Source organism: Homo sapiens, chromosome 12 (assembly GCF_000001405.40).
Source record: "Homo sapiens chromosome 12, GRCh38.p14 Primary Assembly".
Lineage (NCBI taxonomy): Eukaryota > Metazoa > Chordata > Mammalia > Primates > Hominidae > Homo > Homo sapiens.
This window is the reverse complement of record NC_000012.12, coordinates 49,234,473-49,254,409: the sequence shown is the minus strand read 5'-3', so window position 1 is coordinate 49,254,409 and position 19,937 is coordinate 49,234,473. Positions and strand designations below refer to the sequence as shown.

The 19,937-nt window shown below is 46.7% G+C and overlaps 1 protein-coding gene across 4 annotated transcripts in view, besides 1 other annotated feature; it reads right to left on the bottom strand.

Moving 5' to 3' along the window:
- The window catches only part of TUBA1C (tubulin alpha 1c), a 46,675-nt gene that overhangs the window by 20,191 nt on the left and 6,547 nt on the right, over positions 1-19,937 (bottom strand). The window lies entirely within an intron of this gene.
- Positions 19,644-19,933: a silencer, noted in NCBI's record as "silent region_4426". NCBI's record gives its function as "represses an Ori minimal core promoter by ATAC-STARR-seq in GM12878 lymphoblastoid cells {active_cell/tissue: GM12878}" and the evidence as "EXISTENCE:reporter gene assay evidence [ECO:0000049][PMID:35858748]".

Sequence of the window (19,937 nt, the reverse complement as noted above, 5' to 3'; positions counted from 1 at the left end):
CTTCCCAAGTTCAAGTGATTCTCTGCCTCAGCCTCCTGAGTAGCTGGGATTACAGGCGTGCACCACGACACTCGGCTAATTTTTTCTTTTCTCTTCTTGAGATGGAGTTTCACTCTTGTTGCCCAGGCTAGAGTGCAATGGCATGATCTTGGCTCACCGCAACCTCCAGCTCCCGGGTTCAAGCGATTCTCCTGCCTCAGCCTCCCGAGTAGCTGGGATTACAGGCATGCGCCACCACGCCCGGCTAATTTGGTATTTTTAGTAGAGACGGGGTTTCTCCGTGTTGGTCAGGCTGGTCTCGAAATCCCGACCTCAGGTGATCCGCCTGCCTCGGCCTCCCAAACTGCTGGGATTACAGGCGTAAGTCACCGCACCCGGCTCCCCTTCCTGCTTTTATCCTGTCTTCTATCTCTGTAGGGCTCCCCGTCCCTGATTTTATTAATACTAGTCCTATCCACCTGTGCCCCAGTTCTGTATTCCTGCTCACAGTCTCTGGGATCTTGCTTCATAATTTAACCCTTTTTCTTGACCCTTCACTTTCTTTTGTTTAGACAAATTGGGACTGAACTCTAGTTTCAGTACCAGTTTGAGTTACTGTTCAAATAAAATTATAGGCCACTTTGGGAGGCAGAAGCAGGAAGATCGCTTGAGTCCAGGAATTCAAGACCAGCTTGGACGACATAGTGAGACCCTGTCCCTACAAAAAAATTTAAAATTAGCATGGTGTGGTGGTACATGCCTGTAGTCCCAGCTACTGGGGAGGCTGAGGTGGGAGGATCGCTTGAGCCCAAGAGCTCAAGTTAGCCATGTTGGTGCCACTGCACTCCAGCCTGGGCAAGAGTGAAACCCTCTCTCAAAAATAAAATGAGTATCCCCTCCCCACGCCCCCTCCCTTCATGATTTCAATTTTAAGCATCCCACCGTCCAACCACAACCTCCCACTTTTTAGCTCTACGAAACCAGTACCCACAACCCTTCTACCTAACTGGGACTTACAAGACATTGACACGCCCACGTGTGCACTGTCCTCTATTCCGCTACATCCTCAGGTCTCCTTCCATAGCTTCCACCGTAGCTTACACCTACCAACTCTCATGCTTTATTTTCTTGTTTGTGCTCACTTAGCAAAACCGAATAACCTGATTAAATCTAACTCTGCCTACTCCATGCCTGCAGGCATGGCTGTGGTATGCCGAGAGTTCCATTTAAAGTTCATGACTACTAACCTCCAGCGGGTTTATATTGCTCAGCAGTCATCCGGAATTTCCCTTAATTTTTCACTTTCCCACTCTCCTGAAAGTCTTTTTTTTTTTTTTTTTTTTTAAGATAGGGTCTGGCTCTGCTACCCAGGCTGGAGTGCAGTGGTGCTGCAATCTTGGCTCACTGCAACCTCCACCTCCCGGGTTCAAGGAATTCTCCTGCCTCAGCCTCCCCAAGTGGCTGGGATTACAGAGGCCTACCACACTTGACTAATTTTTGTTTTTGTTTCTGTTTTGTGATGGAGTCTCCCTCTTGTTGCCCCAGGCTGGAGTGCAATGGCATGATCTCGGCTCACCGCAACCTCCGCCTCCCGGGTTCAAGTGATTCTCCTGCCTCAGCCTCCCGAGTAGCTGGGACTACAGGCGCCCGCCACCATGCCTGGCTAATCTTTTGTATTTTTTCAGTAGAGACGGGGTTTCACCATGTTAGTGAGGATGGTCTCGATCTCCTGACCTCGTGATCCACCCGCCTCGGCCTCCCAAAGTGCTGGGATTACAGGTGTGAGCCACCGTGCCCAGCCAATTTTTGTATTTTTAGTAGAGATGGGGTTTCGCCATGTTGGCCAGGCTCTAAAAGTCTTTTTGTAATATCTTCTTCACTGCCCTCAACTTCCCCCAAAGCTTCTCCCTATTCTCACTCTCAGTTCATGACTTTTCACCCTTATTCACTGAGAAAATAGAAGCAGTCAGAAAAGAATGTCCACAAGCCCCTACTGCTATGTCTTCCATGTTAAAATATAATTTTGAAAAAGTTAAGATTATGACTGTCATACAAATATAGAATAAACATCAAGTTTTATTAACTAAAGGAAGCAGTAAAATGGTCAAGCTGGTGAAAAGAGCACTTGAAGAGCAGGAATTTACATATTTTATTAGGAAAGACACTTAAAATTTTATTAGAATAAAATTTATAGATAGATACAAAACTGGTTAATGCCTTACAGAGCAAAAACATCCTAACCTGTGCATCTGGTTTCTGCCACCTAGCATCATATTCTGGAGTTTAATCTATATGGTAGCATGCATTCATCCTTCATTCCTTCTTACTGCTGAACAGTATTGCATTGTATGGATGTAGCATATTTTATTTACCCATTCACCAGCTGACAGACTCAGAATGTTTGCTGTTGGTTTTTCTTAGAAGCCCCTTATCTGGTTAAGGATATTCCCTTCTATTCCTAGTTCGTTGAGTTTTTATCATGAATGGGTTGGATTTTGTCAAATGTTTTTTCTGCATCGATTGAGATGATCATGTAGCTTTTGTCCTTTATTAATATTGTATATTACATTAATTTATTTTAGAATTTAAACCAACCATGCATCCTTGGAATAAATACAACTTGGTCGTGTTGTATAATCTTTTTTTTTTTTTTTTTAAATACCGAGTCTCGCTCTGTCGCCCAAGCTGGACTGCAGTGGTGCCATCTCAGCTCACTACAACCTCCACCTCTTGGGCTCAAGCGATTCTCCTGCCCCAGCCTCCAAAGTAGCTGTGATTAAAGGTGCCTGCCACCACCCAGCTGATTTTTACATTTTTAGTAGAGACAGGGGTTTCACAATGTTAGCCAGGCTAGTCTTGAACTGCTGACCTCAAGTGACCCATCCATCTCGGCCTCCCAAAGTGCTAGGATTACAAGGTGAGTCACCAGGCCCAGCCTATAATCTCTCTTATATGTTGCTGAATTTGGTTTGCAGACGACTTTTGTATCAATATTTATAAGGATATCGATATATACTTTTCTTACAGTGTCTTTACCTGGTTTTAGTATCAGAGTAATATTGAATTTATAGAATAAATTGGGAAGTGTTCCTCCTCTAATTTCTGAAATAATTTGTTCAATATTTGTATTATTGGTTCTTTAAATATTTAATGGAATTTACCAATGAAGCCATCTGGGCTGGGCTCTTGTGGGAAGATTGTTAGATTGTTTTTGTTTGTTCTTGAGACAGGGTCTCACTCTGTTGCCCCAGGCTGGAGTGCAGTGGTACAATCTCAGCTCACTGACACCTCCACCTCCCTGGTTCAAGTTATTGTCCCACCTCAGCCTCCCAAGTAGCTGGGTCTATAGGTATGTGCCACCCCACCTGGGTAATTTTTGTACATTTTGGTTGAGACGGGTTTCACCATAATGCCCAGGCTGGTCTTGAACTCCCGACCTCAAGTGATGTACCTGCCTTGGCCTCCCAAAGTGCTGGGATTACAGGTGTGAGCCACCATGCCCAGCTGGAAGATTGTTTTTTAAATTCATTTTTTTTAACCACTTGATATAGGTATGTTTGGATATCCTATTTCTTCTTGAGTTGGTCTTGATACTTTATGCCTTTCTAGGAATTTTTCATTTCATTAAATTGCCTAATGTACTGGTATAAAGTTGTTCACATTATACTTTTTGTGTGTGTATGGTAGAGATGGGGTTTCACTGTTACCCAGGCTGTTCTGGAACTCCTGGGCTCAAGTAATCTGCCCACCTCAGCCTCCCAAAGTGTTGGGATCATAGTCATGAGCCACCATGCCTGGCCCCATAATATACTTTTATAATTTTAATTTTTGTAGGGCAGAGATTGATGTCCTCTCTTTCATTCTAGATACTGGTAATTTGTGTCTTCTCTTTTTTTTTTTTTTTTTTGAGACGGAGTCTCACTCTGTCACCCAGGCTAGAGTGCAGTGGCGCGATCTCGGCTCACTGCAAGCTCCGCCTCCCAGGTTCACGCTATTCTCCTGACTCAGCCTCCCAAGTAGCTGGGACTACAGGTGCCCGCCACCATGCCCGACTAATTTTTTGTATTTTTAGTAGAGACGGGGTTTCATCGTGTTAGCCAGGATGGTCTCGATTTCCTGACCTCGTGATCCGCCTGCCTGGGCCTCCCAAAGTGCTGGGATTACAGGCGCAAGCCACCACGCCCAGCCAGTGTCTTCTCTTTTTTAAAACAAATTTATTATTATTATTTTTTGAGATGGAGTCTCACTCTGTCGCCCAGGTTGCAGTGCAGTGGCACGATCTCAGCTCACTGCAACCTTCCACCTCCCAGGTTCAAGCGATTCTCCTGCCTCAGCCTCCTGAGTAACTGGGATTACAGGCACCCGCCACCACACCTGGCTAATTTTTGTATTTTTAGTAGAGATGGGGTTTCACCACGTTGGGCCAGGCTGGTCTCAAACTCCTGACCTCAAGTGATCCACCTGCCTCGGCCTCCCAAAGTGTTGGAATTACAGGCATAAGCCACCATGTCTGGCCTTTTTAAAAATTTTTTTCGCTTGGCTAATCTTATTATTATTATTATTATTGGAGACAATGTTTTGCTCTATTGCCTGCTTGAGTGCAGTGGCGTGACCTCAGCTCACTGCAGCCTCAACCTCTCAGGCTCAAGCAATTCTATCTCATGAGCATCCCCACCCGAGTAACTGGGACTACAGGCACGTGCCACCATGACTGGCTAATTTTTGTATTTATTTGGAAGAGACGGTGTTCACCATGTTACCTAGGCTGGTCTCCAACTCCTGGGCTCAAGTGATCCACCTGCCTCTGCTTCCCAAAGTGCTAGGATTATAGGTGTGAGCCACCACGACCAGTCATTGTTATTTTTTCAAAGAAACAACTTTTTGTTCGTTGATTTTCTATATTGCTGTTTTCTGTTTCATTGATTTCTGCTCTAATCTTTATTTCCTCTTTTTTGCTTACCTTGGGTTTAGTTTGATCTTTTGTTTATTTATTTATTTATTTAGAGACGGAGTTTCACTCTTGTCGACCAGGCTGGAGTGCAGTGGCGCCATCTCAGCTCACCACAACCTCCGCCTCCCGGGTTCAAGTGATTCTCCTGCCTCCACCTCCCGAGTACCTGGGATTACAGGCATGCGCCACCACACCCGGCTAATTTTGTATTTTTAGTGGAGACGGGGTTTGTCTATGTTGGTCAGGCTGGTCTCAAACTCCCGACCTCAGGGGATCAGCCCGACTCGGCCTCCCAAAGTGCTGGGATTACAGGCATGAGCCACCGCGCCCGGCCTTCTTTTTATTTTCTTAAGATAGAAGCTTAATTTGATTTGAGACCTTTCTTTTCTTCTTATATATATGTTTTCCTCTAAGCACTTCTAGCTGCTTCCCATAAATTTTGATATGTTGTATTTTCATTTTTACTCAGTTCAAAATATTTTAAGATTTCCCTTGTGAAGTGGCTTTTGACCTATGTGCTATTTAGAAGTCTGTTTTATTTCCAAATACATAGGGATTTCCCAGATCTCTTTCTGTTGTTGATTTCTAACTTTTTTTTTTTTTTTTTTTTTTGAGAGGGAGTCTCGCTCTGTCACCCAGGCTGGAGTGCAGTGGCGCGATCTTGGCTCACTGCAAGCTCCGCCTCCCGGGTTCACGCCATTCTCCTGCCTCAGCCTCCCGAGTAGCTGGGACTACAGGCGCCTGCCACCACGCCCGGCTAATTATTTTTTTTGAATTTTTAGTAGAGACGGAGTTTCACTGTGTTAGCCAGGATGGTCTCGATCTCCTGACCTCGTGATCCGCCCGCCTCGGCCTCCCAAAGTGCTGAGATTACAGACGTGGGCCACCGTGCCCGGCCCTTTTCTTTTTTTTTTTTTCTGAGACAGAGTTTCGCTGTTGTTGCCCAGGCAACAACCCGGTCTCAGCTCACTGTAATCTCCGCCTCCCAGGTTCAAGTGATTCTCCTGCCTCAGCCTCCTGAGTAGCTGGGACTATAGGCGCCGCCACCGCGCCCAGCTAATTTTTGTATTTTTTGTAGAGACGGGTTTCACCTTGTTGGCCAGGCTGGTTTTGAACTCCTGACCTCAGGTGATCCACCAGCCTCAGTCTCCCAAAGTGCTGGGCTTATGGGTGTGAGCCACTTTCTTTTTCTTTTTTTTTACTTTTGAGACGGAGTCTTGCTCTGTCACCAGGCTGGAGTGTAGTGGCTCTATCTTGGCTCACTGCAACCTCCGCCTCCCAGGTTCAAGCAGTTCTCCTGCCTCAGCCTCCTGGGTAGCTGGGACTACAGGCGTGTGCCACCACGCCTGGCTAATTTTTTGTACTTTAGTAGAGATGGGGTTTCACCATGTTGGCCAGGATGGTCTCGATCTCCTGACCTCGTGATCTGCCTGCCTCAGCCTCCCAAACTGCTGGGATTACAGGTGTGAGCCACCGCACCTGGCTCTGATTTTACTTTTCTTTCTTTCTTTCTCTCTTTTTTTTTTTTTTTTGAGACGGAATCTCGTTCTATCGCCCAGGCTGGAGTGTAGTGTCAGGATCTCGGCTCACTGCAACTTCTGCCTCCTGCGGTCAAGCAATTCTCCTACTTCAGCCTCCTGAGTAGCTGGGATTACAGGTGCATGCCACCATGCCTGGCTAATTTTTTTGTATTTTTAGTAGAGACGGGGTTTCACCATGCTGGCCAAGCTGGTCTTGAACTCCTAACCTCGTGATCCGCCTGCCTTGGCCTCCCAAAGTGCTGGGATTACAGGCGTAAGCCACCATGCCCAGCCGATTTTACTTTCTAAAGCCTGTTTTTTGCTTTGTTTGTGGGTTTGTCTTGTTTGTTTGTTTTGAGACAGAGTCTCGCTCTGTTGCCCAGGCTAGAGTGCAGTGGTGCAATCTCGGCTCACTGCAACCTCCGCCTCCCAGGTTCAAGCAACTCTCCTGTGTCAGCCTCCTGAGTACATCTGATCTTAGCCAAAAGGCTGAGAAGCAATCAGCCTCCTGAGTAGCTGGGATTACAGGTGCATGCCACCATGTTCAGCTAATTTTTGTATTTTCAGTAGAAATGGGGTTTCACCATATTGGTCAGGCTGGTCTTGAACTCCTGACCTCAGGTGATCCACCCACCTCAGCCTCCCAAAGTGCTGGGATTACAGGCATGAGCCACCAAGTCCGGCGGGTTTGTCTTTGTTTAGTGACTTGCCTGGGCTAAATCTATGAGCTCTGTCTCCCCTCTGAGGTTTGTAGCTGCTGATCTCTCTGCTTAGTTTCTTTTCTCTTGTTTTACTTTTTTTTTCTTTCTTTTTTTTTTTTGAGATGGAGTCTTGCTCTATCGCCTAGGGTGGAGTGCAGTGACATGATCGCAGTTCACTGTAACCTCCATCTCCTGGGTTCATGCAATTCTCCTGTGTCAGCCTCCCAAGTAGCTGAGATTACAGGTACCTGCCACCAAGCCTGGCTAATTTTTGTATTTTTAGTAGAGATGGAGTTTCACCATATTGGTCAGGCTGGTCTCGAGCTCCTGACCTCAGATGATCCACCCACCTCGGCCTCCCAAAGTGCTGGGTCACTGTGAGCCACTGTGCCCGGCCTTGTTTTACTTTTTAAGTCTGGCTTCCTAGGGGTTGCCCCCTGTGTCTGAGTAGCCTCCTGGTTGACCAATGATGGGGCAGAAATTGTCCTGAAATGCCATAAGCCAGTTGGCCTTCTGTCTTCTGATAATGCATTTCTGCATGTTTTAGGAAGCACACAATTCAAAGTTCAGGCCATTTTCTCTTTTTTTTTTGAGACGGGCTCTTCGCCCAGGCTAGAGTGCAGTGGTGCGATCTCCGCTCACTGCAAGCTCCGCCTCCCGGGTTCATGCCATTCTCCTGCCTCAGCCTCCCAAGTAGCTGGGACTATAGGCGCCCGCCACCACACCCGGCTAATTGTATTTTTAGTAGAGACGGGGTTTCACCGTGTTAGCCAGGATGATCTGGATCTCCTGACCTCGTGATCCGCCCGCCTCGGCCTCCCAAAGTGCTGGGATTACAGGCGTGAGCCACCGCGCCCGGCCAAGTTCAGGCCATTTTCAATTCTATCTGGGCTTTTACTTTTATTCTCTGTTGGGTTCTTCCATCACATTTTCTCTAGGCAGGCTGCCCCAGGGTCAGGCAGAAGTATGTGGCAATTAGGCCAGATGCAGTGGCTCACGCCTGTAATCTTATCACTTTGGGAGGCTGAGGCAGGCAGAAGTATGTGGCAATTAGGCCAGATGCAGTGGCTCACGCCTGTAATCTTATCACTTTGGGAGGCTGAGGCGGGCAGATCACTTGAGATCAGGAATTTGAGACCAGCCTGGCTAACATGGTGAAACCCGGTCTCTACTAAAAAATACAAAAATTAGGTGGGCGTGGTGGCGCATGCCTGTAGTCCCAGCTACTTGGGAGGCTGAGGCAGGAGAATTGCTTGAACTTGGGACGCTGAGGTTGCAGGTAGCCGAGATCGTGCCACTGCACTCCAGCCTGGGCAACAGAGTGAGATTCCATCTCAGAAAAGAAAAAAAAGAAGAAGTATGTGGCAATCTTAGGCCCTCTGTTATCTGCTGTAAATGTGTAGAAGTTTAGACAGGAAGATGCTTGCCCCAGCCAGAACTGTAACCTCAGGTTAGAACCTTTGGTCCTGCCCTGCTCCAAACAAAGTAGGCCCACTTTGAGTATAGTTGCAAGGCTGGTTGTTACAGCAGTCCCCACCCTGGCAAAATCCTCTTGCTGACGGAGCTGAAGGGACAGCTGAGAATGGGAGTGTCCCCAGGCAAGATGCCACAGATTCCCACTGTTATTACAAAAGTTCAGCAGTTACTCAAACATAAACGCTTCTCAGGTTTTTTTCATCCAGGTTGGGGTGCAGTGATCAGAGCTCAATTCAGCTTCAAATTCCTAGCCTCAAGTAATCCTTCTACCTCAGCCTCCTGAGTAGCTGTGACTACAGGCATGTGCCACCACTACCTGGTTAATTTTTTTATTTTTATTTTTTGTGAAGATGGGAGTCTCACTATGTTGCCCAGGCTGGTCTCAGACTCCTGGCCTCAAGTGATCCTCCCACCTTGGCCTCCCAAAGTGCTGGGATTACAGGTGTGAGCCACCGTGCCTGGCTGTTTCTCAGATTATTACATGCCTTTGGTCAATTTTCAGAGTGCCAGAAATGGTCATTTTTGTCAATTTTTTCCACCTTTGTAATTTTTTTTAGGGAAAGAATTTGCCCACCTCTTCACACTGCCATAGCTGGACGTTTCACCCTCCTCAATAAACAAGTGATGAATAAGTGAATAAACCCCTTGTAATTTGTGTTCTGTCTTGACCACTGTACTGAAACTGTCTTATCAAAAATTATCATTTACTTCCCAGGCACTAAAACAGGCTCTGAGTAAGACAGGCCTGGGCTGAATTATAGCTCTGCCACTTAGTCACTGTGTACTTGATGAGTATATTTATCTTCTCCAAGTCTTGTTTTTTTTCTGTTAAATAGCTAAAATAATACCTGGGGTGTTATTATAAAGTTATTATAAGGAAGGTGTGGTCTGAGCAAGCATCTGGGAGGATGCTTCAGAGTCCTTTCCCAACATAGTATTTGTCAGGAGGTCTGAGCTCCTGTTCAGACTGTGAGTCTGGGATGGCCTTCAATCTCATTTTCCATCCTTACACACAGTGGAGACATGACTGGTGGGAATGCAGGGATAAGATCATGAAAACTCTTTGATATTATATCCATTAGACACAACTATAAGGTATTATTATGCCTTATTATGATGTACTTTGTGAACTCTAAAGAATCCCCTCTCTGGGATCATGCCATTGAACTCCAGCCTGGGCAACAAGAATGAAACTCCATCTCAAAAGAAAAAAAAAAATACCTCTCTGGGAAAATTTGGTCATAATAGAATTTCTAAAAATAGGGAAGCTACTCAAATTACTTCCCTTAACTTCCTTCTTCCCTGGACATTTGAACATTTTGAAGATACCGTAGATATCTTCAAAAGACCACGACTATAGATGTAAATTCTTCTTAATCACAAGCTTTCCCATTTTTAGATGTTTCTTCTAAGAAGACATAGTCTCCCAAATCAGAAGGGAAACATCCATTTTGTGGTAAAAGATGGAGAAGGAGAAACATGACCAAACAATGTGTGGAATTTGAAAATGAAAATACTGTGGTGAGTGGTGAGGCCATTTAGAGCCCCATTTAGGGCCTTGCTGAAAATTCAGCTGTTTCTGCAGGCAATACATGTTTTAAAGCAGATTTTTTTTTCTTTTTTTTTTTTTTTTGAGACAGAGTCTCACTCTGTCACCAAGGCTGGAGTGCAGTGGCACAATCTCGGCTCACTGCAACCTCCACCTCCTGGGTTCAAGTGATTATCGTGCCTCAGCCTCCCGAGTAGCTGGGATTACAGGTGCCCGCCACCACACCCAGGTAATTTTTAAATTATTTGTAGATACGGGATCTCGCTGTGTGGCCCAGACTGGTCTTGACATCCTGACAGCAAGAGATCCTCCCACCTTGGTCTCCCAAAGCACTGGGATTATAGGCACGAGCCACCATGCCTGGCCTAAAGTTTTTCTTTTAATGAGATAGTATTACAAGTCTCAATTTCCAGGTTCTAAACCACCAAATGTACCCTTTCCTTAAAGGGAACTGCCTGAGAATGGTTTGCAATGAGCTGATTTTTCTTTTCCAGCCTCCCCTTCCCAAGTCCTCTTAGCCTTCACAGCAAAAAGATTGAGGCTGTAGTGAACCATGATTGCACCACTGCACTCCAGCCTGGGCGATAGAGCAAGACTCTGTCTCAAAATAAATAAATAGATAAAATAATAAAAATCAAAAACAAAAAGCTATCCCTTAGCCATCCTGAACTATGCTATGTGCGATGTTCCCAAGCAAAGGGATAATTGGAGAAGCATCATGACTGACGGAGGAGCTCCTGAGAGCCAAGTAAGAAGCACTCACAGGGTAGCACCTGATTTCTTTTTTTTTCTGGAGATGGAGTCTCACACTGTCACCCAGGCTGTAGGGCAGTGGTGCAATCTTGGCTCACTGCAACCTCTGTCTCCCAGATTCAACCAATTCTCCCGCCTTAGCTTGGCTAGTAGCTGGGACTCCAGGCGCGCGCCACCAGCTATTTTTTGTATTTTTAGTAGAGATGGGGTTTTCTCCATGTTGGCCAGGCTGGTCTTGAACTCCTGACCTCAGGTGATCCGCCCACCTTGTCCTCCCAAAGTGCTAGGATTACAGGCATGAGCCACCGCAACCAGCCTGCACCTTATTTCATCTTAACAAATTCACGGCAAGCTTCTTAGAATTGGAAGTCACGACCGGGCACGGTGGTTCACACCTGTAATCCCAGCACTTCCAGAGGCTGAGGCAGGCAGATTACTTGAGCCTAGAAGTTCGAGACCAGCCCGAGCAACATGTCAAAAACCCTGTCTCTATTAAAAATACAAAAATTAGCTGGGTGTGGTGGTGCATGCGCCTGTAGTCCCAGCTACTCAGGCCACTAAGGTGGGAGGATCAGCTTGAGCCTGGGAGGCAGAGGTTGCAGTGAGCTGAGATCACACCATTGCACTGCAGCTTGGGCAACAGAGTAAGACCCTGTCTCAAAACAACAACAACAGAATTAGAAGTCACAGATGAGCCAGGCGCGGTAGCTCATACCTGTATTCCCAGCACTTTGGGAGGCCGAGGCAGGAGGATTGCTTGAGACTAGGAGTTTGAGAACAGCCTGGGCAACACAGGGAGACCCTGTCTGTATAAATAACAACAACAACAAAAAAATTAGCTGGAAATTAGCTGGGTGTGGTGGTGTGCACCTTCAGTCCCAGCTACTCGGGAGGCTGAGGTGGGAGGATTGCTTGAACCTGGGGATTTGAGGCTGCAGTGAGCTAGGATTGTGCCACTGCACTCCAGCCTGAGTGACAGAGCAAGACCCCATCTCAACACAAAACAAAACAAAAACACACACAACACAAAACAAAAAAACAAAATAACTCCATTTGACTGATTGGTTTGGCCATGGGGACTGGTTTTGCTAGTTAAGTAATATTTTCTACAAATGGAAGGAGCTAGATCTGTGGCTCCAAACCACATTTTTTTCCTCATGCCACCTTGTCTAAGAAGGCTGTAAACTTTTGGCCGGGTGCAGTGGCTCACACCTGTAATCCCAGAACTTTGGGAGGCCAAGACAGGTGAATTGCTTGAGGCCAGGAGTACAAAACCAGCCTGGCCAACATGGTGAAACCCCATCTCTACCAAAAATACAAAAAATTAGCCAGGTGTGGTGGCGGGCACCTGTAATCCCAGTTACTCGGGAGGCTGAGGCAGGAGAATCACTTGAATCCAGGAGGCGGAGGCTGCAGTGGGCTGAGATCACGCCACTGCACTCCAGCCTGGGCAACAAGAATGAAATTCTGTCTCAAAAAAAAAAAAAAAGAAAGAAAGAAGGCTCTAAGTTTTGATGAAAATATGTATAAAGGCTGGGCACAGTGGCTCACACCTGTAATCCTAGCACTTTGGGAGGCTGAGGTGAGCGGATTGCCCAAGCTCAGGAGTTCGTGACCAGCCTGGGCAACATAGTAAAACCCAATCTCTACTAAAATACAAAAAATTAGCCGGGCGTGTCGGCGTGCGCCTGTAGTCCCAGCTACTTGGGAGGCTGAGGCAGGAGAATTGCTTGAATCCGGGAGGCAGAGGTTGCAGTGAGCTGAGATCGCGCCATTGCACTCCAGCCTGGGGGCAGAGCGAGACTCTCAAAAAAGGAAGGAAGGAAGGAAGAAAGGAAGGGAGGAAGGAAGGCAGGGAGGGAGGGAGGGAGGGGAGGAAAATATGTGTAAAGCATTTATCATACACCAGAAATTGCATGAATTGTAACTATTTCAAGTTCTGATGACCACTGCCTTAAACTCACACTCACATCATAATCACCCCATCTTACCTCCTGTCAGTCCCTTCAGGCTGAAGCAAACCACATTCATGCTCCTTGTCACTCTTCCAGGTCTATACCTTTGTATGTGGTCCTGCCAGTTCCTCCAATGGAAACACCTTTCCCTCCCATCTCAGTGTTGAATCCTACCTAACATTTGCCTGGTCTGAGGCACTAGTTAGGCACTGGGGGTGCAAAATGAACATGATAATCTTGGCCCCATTCTCATAAAATTTAAGTGTCTGGTATGGAAGACACAGATAAATCATATTATATATGGTATTATAAGAGCTAAGATGGGACCAGGCATGGTGGCTCAAGCCTGTAATCCTAGCACTTTGGGAGGCCGAGGCGGGCGGTTCACCTGAGGTCAGGAGTTCAAGACCAGCCTGGCCAACATGGTGAAACCCTGTCTCGACTAAAAATACAAAAATTTGCTGGCCGTGGTGGTGCACTCCTATAGTCCTAGCTACTTGGGAGGCTGAGGCGGGAGAATCGCTTGAACCCAGGAGGCAGAGATTACAGTAAGCTGAGATCTCGCCACTGCCCTCCAGCCTGGGTGACAGAGTGAGACTCCATCTCAAAAAGAAAAAAAGAGCTATGATGGGCTGGGGGCAGTGGCTAATGCCTGTAATCCCAACACTTTGTGAGGCTGAGGTGGGAGAACCGCTTGAACCCAGGAGTTCAAGAACAGCCTGGACAATGTAGTGAGAGTCCATCTCTACAAAAAAATAATAATAAAAAAAATTAGTCCAGTGTGGTGGTGCACGCCTGTAGTGCCAGCTACTCGGAAGGCTGAGGCAGAAGGACCACTTGAGCCCGGGAGGTCGAAGTTGCACTGAGCAGTGTTCGCACCACTGCACTCGAGCATGGGTGACAGAGAGAGACCCTGTCCCAAAAATAAATAAGTAGATAAAAGAGCCACAATGGGGAACTTGGAGGTGCTGCCAACTCACAGCAGGGGCACCCTGTGGGGGTCCAGGAAGTGGCCAGAAAGCCAAGACCCTCTGATAAGCCTGATATTTTGTGGGGAGAGGAGAGAAGAGGACTGATCTATACTGAAAACACAAAAATGAGTTGAATTGATATTTTTAAGGCAGTTCCTCTGTGGAATCAGGATTTCAATGTGAGGGACACACTTAACTCTAGGGTCCAGATAGAAACTACTGAATTTAGTGTTTCTTTCTTTTTTTTTTTTTTTTTTTCAGAGAATGGTCACATATTCTCAAAAGCCCAATTATAGAACAAGCTGAAAGTCAAGGGAGAGGTCATCTCCAGAAAAGTTTTCCCCTTGCTTTTTGCCAAACATAAATATTTGAATCCTGAGTTCAACTGCCAGGGGAGTGGGCAGCCTTTTTATATTGGCGTCCCCAAAAATAATGCTCAGAGAATGCTCTTGGGATGTCTGTGAGGAAAAAGGCAGGGTGTGTGTGTGTGTGTGTGTGTGTGTGTGTGTGTGTGTGTGTCTGTGCTCTGAGGGTGGAGGCACCCTCCTAGCAAACAAGCAACTGAAATAAGCAGAACAACAAGAGAAAACAGTTTCAAGGGACTGACTTGTGCCACACAAGTGGAATATCCCACTGCTCTACCTCCCGTCCTGGTCCTGTCCCAAGCCAGAGGCCCTGAAAAAACCTTTGCTGAGAGATGCTAGACTCTCTACTTAATGCCAATATTCAGTGCTGATTTGTTATCAAGCTATTTATTTATTTAGAAATACCATCTCTCTGTTGCCAGGGCTGGACTCCCAACTCCTGGGCTCACACGATCCTCCCGACTCAGCCTCCCGAGTAGCTGGGACTACAGGAGTACGCAGCTGCACCCAGCTTCACGCAATTTATTTCTTTTTTTTTTTTTTCTTTTTGAGACAGAGTCTTACTCTGTCGCCCAGGATGGAGTGCAGTGGTGAAATCTCAGTTCGCTGCGACCTCCACCTCATGGGTTCAAGTAATTCTCTTGCCTCAGCCTCCTGAGTAGCTGGGACTACAGGCACATGCCACCACACCTGGCTAATTTTTGTATTTTTAGTAGAGATGGGGTTTCACCATGTTGGCCAGGCTGGTCTCAAACTGCTGACCTCAGGTGATCCGCCCGCTTCGGCCTCCCAAAGTGCTGGGATTATAGGTATGAGCCACCCCACGCGGCCAACTCTACAAATATTAATACATTATGTGACGTTATGATGTATATATTTTGGTTTTCCTCCACTATTCCTGGCTCTCAGCTCCTGTAAGCCTTGTCATTTCCTAAGTGACTAGAGCAATATCTTTTGTTAAAGGCCTTTTGTCCTGAGTCTTGAAGCAGCTCAGGAAAAGCTTGAGTAATAAAGGTGGAAGACAGACAATCTTTTGTTATTTTTACCAAACTCTTCAAGACACCTGAGTTTACATTAATGAGGCGAAAATCAGGATGGCTACAGTGGATGGGGATCCGGTTGCCAGGGGAACCAGCCACATTCCCAGAGGGCTGGAACTTCCAGGGAGGGGAGAGGGGCTGAAGGTTAAGCTGACCATCAAATGGCCAATGGTTTAATCAATCATTCCTATGTAATGAAGCCTCAGTAAAAACCCAAAAGGGCAGGGTTCAGAGAGCTTCTGGATGGCTGAACACGTAGAGGTTCCTGGAGAGTGGTGTGCCCAGGGACGGCGTGGACGCTTGGTGCCCCTTCCTCCGTACCTCGCCCTATGCATCTCTCTATCTGGTTGTTTATTTGCATCCTTGAAAATATCCTTTGTAGCCAGGTGTGGTGGCTCATGCTTGAGCCCAGGAGTTCAAAATTAGCCTGGGTAACACAGTGAGACCTTGTCTGTAAACAAATTTTTTAAATATAAAAATAAGCAAAAAAATTTTAAAATGAATATCTTTTGTAATAAACCGGTAAACAAAAATAAGTGCTTCCTTGAGTTGTGTGAGCCATTCTAGCAAATTAATTGATCCCAAGGAGGAGGTTGTGGGAACCCTCATTTATAGCCAGTAAAAACCACCTGGGGCTCGCAATCAGCATCCTAAGCGGGGCTCAGTCTCATGGGACTCAGTCCTCGTGGGATCCGAGGCTCTCCAGGTAGTGTGAGAATTGAATTAGAGAACACCCAGCTACTATCCATTGCAGAAAAGAACTGATTGATTGTTGGTGGGGAAAAATCCCCACACAAATTTTGGTGACCAGAGGTCACAGAAGTATTCTGTGTTGATTGTTGAGTGACAGCACAGGAGAAACTAAATTAGTTTTTTCTTATATATTTTCACATTAGCAGAATTGTGGGATACAATAGATGTGGCACTAGCCATCAGTATTTCCTATTCTAGTCACAGTTCGATACCCAATAACTTCGTCTTACTAGTTTTCTGATACAGTTCACTCATGCATTGCCGGAGTGAACTTTTTTTTTTTTTTTGAGGCGGAATCTCGCTCTTGTCACCCAGGCTGGAGTGCAGTGGAACAATCTTGGCTCACTGCAACCTCTGCCTCCCAGGTTCAAGCTATTCTCCTGCCTCAGCCTCCTGAGTAGCTGGGATTACAGGCGCCCACCACCATGCCCAGCTAATTTTAGGATTTTTAGTAGAGACGAGTTTTCCCAAAGTTGGCCAGGCTAGTCTCAAACTCGTGACCTCAAGTAATCCACCTGCTTCAGCCTCCCAAAGTGCCGGGATTACAGGTGTGAGCCACTGCACCTGGTTTCTTCCCTTCCCCTCCATTCCCTTTCCTTTTTCCTTTCCTTCCTCCCTGCCTCCCCACCCCTCTTTCTCTCTCTCTCTTTTTTTTTTTTGACAGGGTCTCTGTCACCCAGGCCAGAGTGCAGTGGCGCGATCATACTCACTGCACCCTCGAACTCCTAGGCTCAAGGGATACTCTTACCTTGGCCTCCCAAGTAGCTGGGACTGCAGGCACATGCCACCACATGTGGCTAATTTTGAAAACTTTTAATAGAGACAGGGGTCTCACTGTGTTGCCCAGGCTGGTCTTGAACTCCTGGGCTCAAGTGATCCTCCTGCCTCAGCCTCCCAAAGTGTTGGGATTACAGGTGTGAGCCACCACATCCAGCCCAGGGTAGATTTTTATCTTATTTTTCTTTTTTCCTTTTTTTTTTGAGACGGAGTTTCACTCATTGCCCAGGCTGGAGGGCAATGGCACGATCTCGGCTCACCGCAACCTCCGCTCCCAGGTTCAAGCAATTCTCCTGCCTCAGCCTCCCGAGTAGCTGGGATTACAGGTACGCGCCACCACTCCCGGCTAATTTTGTATTTTTAGTAGAGATGGGGTTTCTCCATGTTGGTCAGGCTGGTCTTGAACTCCTGGCCTCAGATGATCCACCTGCCTCAGCCTCCCAAAGTGTTGGGACTACAGGTGTGAGCCACGATGCCTGGCCCGGATTTTTATCTTATTTCTCATCTCGTTTTGTTAGTTGTCTGAGTATCTTCTTCAAGCACCCATATAGAAAGTTAACATTTTCTCTATGATCAGTATCATGGTAGAATCAGCAGGTCTCATTCACGAGGGCTTAGTTATTGAAGTACCAAAGGATGTCCTTATAACATATTGACTATACAGTCATGCTTTGCATAATGATGTTTCAGTCAATGGTGGACCTCATTAATGATGGTGGTTCCGTAAGATTATAATATCATAATCCGGACTGTATCAAATACTGTTCCTTTTCTGTTTAGCTATGTTTAGATACAGGAATACTTATCATGGTGTTATAATTGCCTACAGTATTCAGTACAGTTACATGCTATATAGTTTTGAAGCCTAGGAGCAATAGGCTGTGTTATATAGCCTAGGAGTGTAGAAGACACTACCACCTAGGTTTGTGTATGTGCACTCTATGTTTGCACAGTGATGAAATTGCCTAAGGATGCATTTCTCAGAAAGTATCAGTCATTAAATGACACATGACTTATATGGAAGTCACATGACATGGACCCCAAGGACTACATAATCAGTGAGGCTTCAGTAGGCTATACTGTTGATAAAGCTACTTCATCTCTTTCAGGAAAATCATCATAAGCTCATCTCTGAATACAACATTCAGTTTTGTTGGAAAGTAACTATCAAGGTTTGCCGGGTCAGAACTATGCTTGATAACATGTTTCCATTACAAATGCTTTCTATCCCTCATACCATATTTTTCCGGGTGGGTGGGCCAACTGCAATCTGCTCTAATATTCTGCTTTCTACCAGTTCTCCCAACGTTTTCTGATTATGGACTTTAACAAAGTGCAATACCGGGGAATGCAGGCTCATGCTGAAGTATATGTATAAATGTGTTTGCTAATGCATTTAGACCCTCATGTGAAAAGGGCCTGAAGTCTTCTAAATAGAAAAATCTTCAACTGAATCAGAACTGACTGAGGAGTTTGGAAAATGTTGGCAGGGCTTCATGATCTTATATCAAACCGTGGCAAGGCCACATTTTAACATCTCCCTACTCCCAGATTAATTTCATTTCTGTCACCCTCTTCACCTTGGAAACTCCTCCCATTCAGCAAAATCAGAAGCATTCAGAATAAGCACATTGTGATTTCTGTCCCTGAAACCCGCTGTGTGCACTGATGGAAAGCATAGTTTTAGTTTGTAGCCCTGTGCCCGTGGGCCGGTGGAGGAAATTAAATGAGTTGAGCCTCAGGTTTTCCTCAGAGACCAGCAATGTAACAAATGACGACTCATTGAGGCCCGAGGGCTCCTCAACACAGGCCACTTTCTTGCAGAGAGTCAGCCTGGTCTCTTTTTATTTTTTAAAAACTATGTAAGATTTTTTTTTTTTTTTTTTTGAGACCGAGTCTCACCCTGTCACCCAGGCTGGAGTGCAACTTTCGCCTCCCAGGCGAACTGTAACTTTCGCCTGCCAGGTTCAAGCAATTCTGCCTCAGCCTCCCGAGTAGCTGGAATTACAGGCGCGCACCACCAGGCCCAGCTACTCTTTGTATTTTTAGTAGAGACGGGGTTTCACCATGTTGGCCAGACTGGTCTCAAACTCCTGACCTCAGGTGATCCACCTGCCTCGGCCTCCCAAAGTGTTGGGATTACAGGTGTGAGCCACTGCGCCCAGCCTGGTCCAGCCAAGGTGCCAGCGAGTCTCTCCTGGACAAAAAATGGGGCGCTGACCTGCAACCCCGACACCTTTCCGGAAAGGGCCTTGCAGCGGCGCGGCGCGTCCAGCAGATGGCGCCCCAGCTGAATTTTCGCGAGCTGTCCTCCAAGCTTGCAGAAAAATCTGGAACTAACAGGAAGGGGAATTTTTTTTTTTTTTAAGCATTCTAATTTTCAACCTATACTGCCTTTTTGTCCGTGTCAGGAGCCCTTTTTATTCGAATAAGTTGCAATGCATTTGAGATGTCTAAAAGACTTTTTGATTACGCAATCCCAAATTAATTTTTTTTTTTTTTTTGGCCGGGCGCAGTCGCTCACGCCTGTAATCCCAGCACTTTGGGAGGCCGAGGCGGGCGGATCACGAGGACAGGAATTCGAGACCAGCCTGACCAACATGGTGAAACCCCGTCTCTACTAAAAATACAAAAATCAGATGGGCGTGGTGGCGGGTGCCTGTAATCCCAAATACTCGGGAGTCTGAGGCAGGAGAATCGCTTGAATCTGGGAGGCGGAGGTTGCAGTGAGCCGAGATCGCGCCAGTGCACTCCAGCCTGGGCAACAAAAGCAATACTCCGTCTCCAAAAAGAAAATTTTTTTTAGGATGTCCACTCTTCCAAAAGACCCAAGAGGGAGGTTTTCAAACAGCATTAATTGTCACAAGAGTTCAGAAACTTTCGCGGACAGCGATATGTGAAGAAAGGCCGCTTCTAAACAGCAGGGCGTGGCGGGGGCGCGCTCGCCGGGCCGCGGCGGAAGTGGCCTTCGTGGCGGGCGGGGCGGCGGCTGCGGCCTGGAGATAGCGCCGCCTGCTGGTCACCGGGGACAGAGCGCTCGGGGCTCGCCAGGACTGCGGCGCCACGCGGGTGGGAGCCCGAGCCCAGGCCCAGGCCCTGGCGCTGCACGTCACCGTACTAACCAAGGAAGCAAAGTCATGGACACAA